Consider the following 5995-nt stretch of genomic DNA (forward strand, 5'->3'; position numbering starts at 1 on the left):
GGAGATCACATTTGGTTATTACTGAGTCTGTAATTGTTTTTTTTCTGTGATCTGGCCATCCATGTTTGCTAATTGGTGCCAGTCAGGTTAGGTTCCTACCCTCTTACAATGACTGGGACATAGGGCACTATTTCTTTCAATGTTTACATTTCAAAGAGATAGTTCCCAGGTAATTGAAAAAGACATTTATTTGGTTGTAAAATTGCCAAGAGACTTGGAGACAATTTATATACATTTTAAAGGGGTAGTGAAAAAACGTACAATTGCAAGTTTTTCTTAAAGCAAATACTCTAAGAAAAAGAGAGGTCATGAGCCTATAGTCAGGAACAAACCTGTCTAAAGTTTAGTCAAATTGAGGGGAGTGTTAAGGCACTCTTGGCCAATTCCTAGGAATGAACATCCAAAGATATGCTTTCCTACTTTTCCCTTATGAAGTGGTCAAAGGTAGTGTAAGAGTTGTTCAGATTTGTTCCCCTATTAAATGTATGACCCTAGGACATTAAACATCTCTAAGCCTCATTGGCAAAATACTGATATTAATCTACATTTTCTTTCGTATGATTGTAATGATCAAAAGAAATAATGTATGAGAAGTTTTTGGCATATCATATTAGCTTTCTAGGAATGCCACAACAAAATAGTAAGTATTGAGGAACTAAACAAAAGCCATTGTGTGGTATTTAACCCCTAAAGAAAGAAATTTGTTTTATCACAGTTTTGGGGGCTGGATATCCAAGATCAAGGTGCCCCCAAGATTGGATTCTGATAGACCTTTCTTCCTGACTTGCAAATAGCTACTTTCTGACTGCTGTGTCTTCATGACTTTTCCTCTGCATGAAGGCACTCTTGGTGTCGCTTCTTCTTATATGCACACCAATTCTACTGGATAATGGCTCCATCTTATAACCTCATTTAATTGTAATTACCTCATTAAAGGTCCTATATCCAAGTATATTCACATTAAGGGTTAAGGCTTCAACCAATGAATTTTGTGGAGACATAATTTAGACCATAACACTTAGTTTCCGGATCATAATAAGAAACCAATATCTAGCATCTATTATTATTCACAAACATACAATAATTGGAAATTCCGAATAAAAGATACCCATAAGTTATATGTCAAGGAGGTTTCAGGAGCACAGAATAGAAGGTCTTTGGAGGCAAACAGCTCTACTCTAAAAGTAGATATAACTTAGAGGGAGGCATTTCAGGGACAACAAAGATAAAAATGGAAATTTTCTGATGAAAAAATTATTTCGAGAAACCAATTTATTTCTTATTTCTCCTATACTTTGGGACCATCCTACCTGGACCCTTAGAGTAATTCATAGTATTTTCAAAGCCTTTTTAAAGTAAAGTAGGACAATCTTTTTAGTCATTGTTCAGTCTCACACCAGGATCAAGGTATTTTCAGCTGTTTGAGAATACAATCAGTAAAACAAACTACATGCTAAACTTCCAGTCACTGATGAGTTTAATGCAAAATAAGAAAGTAAAATATATACCCACTCCTTCATTCATGCTGATATAGTGTATTCAGTAACCTCTGCCTGAACTTGTCCCGAGACAGAGCCATTCAGCAGTTTTTGATTTTAACATAATGTCACAGATGTGATTGGCTTTGTAATCTTTGTCAAATTAATAGTGTGCAAACATTGCAGAATAATACAATGTAATACAGAGTCAATGATGTATGTGCTGTATGCTGTATTAGGTGGGAGGATGCCTCAAAACTCCTTTACAGTCATATCCCAACAAACACTTGTGAGAAAACCTGCAATGAGAGGCTGGAGGGGTGGGGATCGTGGGATTCTTACTTTCAGGATATCAAGTATTTATATTAAAAGGGGGTAGAGGAAATGCCTTGATCTGTTCACTGCTTCTCAGATTTCATTCCTGACAATTCTTCCTTATAATGAAAGGAAATAAAATGAGGTGGGGACAAATAAGAATGGGAAGTAAGACCAAAAAGGTTGAAAAAATAGTTGTGGTTTTCTGAAACAAAATTAAGGTCATGAAATATCTGGACCCCTGACAGCTTCATTTCTTGTTTCTTCTGGCATTGTTTATCACATTAGCTAAATGAATTAAGCACTTCAATTAAAAGTCTCCTGACTGCTGATCAATCAACATGATTTTCAGAGTGCTTAAATTAATCTCTAAGGAAACATCAAATTCGATTAATGCTGTTACTTGGCCCATTCACATACACACAAGCCCAGGACACATTCACATGCACACACACACACACACACACACGTACTAATTACAAATATCGTTACTTTGGTATCTTAAGGTTAATTCTCACTCTCAGACATTATATGAAGCATCTTTGTGTACTCTTTTTCTTTAAAAGTCACAACTTTATCACATACATAGGTAACATTATATAGTTAATTTTATAAATGAGGAAACTGAGACTTAGTATGTCTCTTCCTTGACTATAGTCCCCAGATTAATGAATGGAAGTTTTATTATTTTAGCCTATTTCTGTCTAATTTGAAAACTACTAGTGGGAGAAAAGAGTTTCATTATGAAGAGCCTTGAGTCAGATGGAATATTTTTGAATTTTGAATACAGTAATTAGTGTAAAAATGTTTGCGTGTTAGTTTGTTTCAGCATTGCCTTCTGTAATATGAATATAAAATATTTTGTACCTAAAAGAAATGTTGTGACAACCAAATGAATAAATGCAAGTAATGTACTCAGAAGTACATTACTCAGAATGTAGCACCATCTAGTAAATGTTAGTCTTGAAGATGATGATGAGGAGGAGGAGGATGGTGATGACTGAAGATAATAGCAAAGATTCATATTGCCTCTGGTGAGAAAACAGCTTTATACACAGTGGGTGATGCTTCTTTCTATTTGTGAAAACATGTTTTTCTGAAAGACAATGAGATATGTACAATGGGAAGGCTTGCTTCAGCTAAAGCAATCTATTGAACCCATCCGATCTGTACTTTCTGCATTGCTGTTACTACTTTGACCACCCTTGACTACAATTCTTAGGATAATTCTTGCAGGAAAATGCATATGATGTCACCTGCTGAAACTGGAAATACAGATTATTGATTGTACTCTAGGAAACTTTATGTCTTATTTTCTAATGGAGTTTAGGGACTGGGCATCCAATAGCCAACTGAAGGAATATACCCAGGATCCCATAGCTTGTTAGCATGACTTTCAGAGGAAAGGTATGTTCATTCTATCCAAAGCCTCCAAATTCATTCTCCCTCATGCATTCTGTTTTTATACTCACCTTTAATATGGATGGGAGGTTAAAGTACTCCTTATACCACACTTAGTCTAAATTGTCTGCCAAGTTATTCAAAGTAATTAAAGAAACCCTGGCTTTAAACATAGAACCTAGCTAAAACCCACAATTTTTCAGAAATTTTTAAAGCACCTTTCTGTTTCAGTGGTTATCAGTGCCAAGAAAAATATCTTCTTAAAAACAAAGATACTCAATTTTAGAAAATTTGTTCTGTTTTCAGACACCCTCTTTATATTGTGTTTGACTTAATATCGGGTAGAGACAGGGTTTGTCTCCACAAAGGATAGCATTAAAACACTTAACATTAATAAATGGAGAAAAAGTGCAATTCAATAGCATGTTCTCAAATTTTACCAAAACTATCATTACTGATTTACTAGCAAATGTTTAAGAGGAATTGGTAAACAGAGTTCCTAAGCTATTTCAGGTTCTTTTTGTAGATTTTATGGAATGAATTTTAGAAGATTATTTTTTATGCTGGCAACATGTAATTTAGAAACTAAGCATAATTAAGATACTAGATGATCAGAACTGAAATAAGCTAGAATAGACAGGAACATTTTCACTGTATGGAACAGGCTTACTGGGAGGAGGATGCATTTGAGGTTAGCAACTTAAGTATGGTATGAATGAAAAGCAGGCCATTGCAAAAGCAGTTATAGAAAACTATAGTTCCTCAGTCATTTGTAACTCACAGAAGTTAAGCTAAATTTTAACACAAGCAAATCTAACCCATCAGAATTAATCAAGCCCTGATTCCAAGCCAAGCGTGCTAGTTAGGATTAACCTGAGTTTCCCTTCACTATCTCTCTTTTCAACTCTTTCCTTTCTCTCTCTCTCTCTCTCCCTCTCTCCCTGTCTCTCTCTCTGTTTCTCTCATACACACACACACCCCCCCACAAAGTTTTGCTTATTTCAAAATTAACCTATAATAGTAATATATGTGCTATTTTATAACAGACACTTCTCAAAAGAAGACATTTATGCAGCCAACAGACACATGAAAAAATGCTCATCATCATTGGCCATCAGAGAAATGCAAATCAAAATCACAATGAGATATCATCTCACACCAGTTAGAATGGCAATCATTAAAAAGTCAGGAAACAACAGGTGCTAGACAGGATGTGGAGAAATAGGAACACTTTTACACTGTTGGTGGGACTGTAAACTAGTTCAACCATTGTGGAAGACAGTGTGGCGATTCTTCAGGGATCTAGAACTAGAAATACCATTTGACCCAGACATCCCATTACTGGGTGTATACCCAAAGGAATATAAATCATGCTACTATAAAGACACATGCACACGTATGTTTATTGAAGCACTACTCACAATAGCAAAGACTTGGAACCAACCCAAATGTCCAACAATGATAGACTGGATTAAGAAAATGTGGCACATATACACCATGGAACACTATGCAGCCATAAAAAATGATGAGTTCATGTCCTTTGTAGGAACATGGATGAAGCTGGAAACCATCATTCTCAGAAAACTATCGCAAGGAAAAAAAGCCAAACACCGCATGTTCTCACTCATAGGTGGGAATTGAACAACGAGAACACATGGACACAGGAAGGGGAACATCACACACCGGGGCCTGTTGTGGGGTGGGGGGAGGGGGGAGGGACAGCATTAGGAGATATACCTAATGTAAATGACGAGTTAATGGGTGCAGCACACCAACATGGCACATGTATACATGTGTAACAAACCTGCATGTTGTGCACATGTACCCTAGAACTTAAAGTATAATAAAAAAAATATATATATATGAAAAGAAAAAGTGAATTACAAAATGTTAGAGGGTAGTAGTCTAATAACATCAAACAAAGAGACAAAATGTTTCTGAGTGGTAGAGAACATCACTAAAGTAGTACATTTGTGTCAGGTTATTTAAAAGGACAAATGCAATTAACCTTGCAAGAGTGTAACTTAGCTCAAATTTGGTGTTTGTCTAAGGTCTTAAGAGTATCTACTAGAGATATCTTATTCTTAGAAACTATGGTCATGCTTGCTAATCAACTTTCTTCACTAGACTGAACCCCAAATGAAATCTGGCTGTATTGAAAATTAAAACTTGTAGTCACAGCCAAAGTTATGGTACATTAGAGAAAATACAAAATAATTTGTTTCAATGTCTGAAGACAAGGCCAGGGTTGATGGAAGGAAATGGATTTCTGAAGGACCATTATGTCAGTAAAGTAAGGGGCTTGGATCATTAACTGTTCACAGTTAATAAAATAAGGTTGTAGTCACTATATTTCAAAGCTGTCTATAGCAACAAAATCATGTTGGGAATAACAGGATATAAATTATGGGGTATTTAATTTTAAAATTATTTGGAGAAGAGAATTGATTATGTTATCGCAATACAGTTTGGTATTCTGCATTTTTCTATGTTTTCACTAGCTAAATTCAAGCATTTAAGTCCAAATTACATAAGAAAACTGCATTTTCAGAGGAGAGGGGTGTAAACATACTAAGATCCTGAAAAAAAAAAAGCAATTGGGAGGTGTGGAAAGTGATCAGACTTTACTTTCTCAAGTATTGATTTCTGGTTGTTTCCGCTATCTAAGTCTAAGAACTGTGCTAAGTCACAAATTCTCCAAGCTTTACTTTTTTGATTATTCACTGTGAGCAATACATTTTTCCACAAACAATTGTAATGAGAGTTATACATGAAAAAAAGATGTAAAGACTCCATAGTCA

General features: G+C 35.3%; 1 non-coding gene across 1 annotated transcript; it reads right to left on the reverse strand.

Annotated features, from left to right (window-relative positions):
• Positions 1 to 2894: 2894 nt before the first annotated feature.
• MIR8054 (microRNA 8054) lies at positions 2895 to 2980 on the reverse strand. The gene has a single exon (NR_107021.1). It is a non-coding gene; the product is annotated as a microRNA 8054 (primary transcript).
• Positions 2981 to 5995: the final 3015 nt, after the last annotated feature.

This window comes from Homo sapiens, chromosome 11, assembly GCF_000001405.40.
Source record: "Homo sapiens chromosome 11, GRCh38.p14 Primary Assembly".
In the NCBI taxonomy this organism is placed as follows: Eukaryota; Metazoa; Chordata; class Mammalia; order Primates; family Hominidae; genus Homo; species Homo sapiens.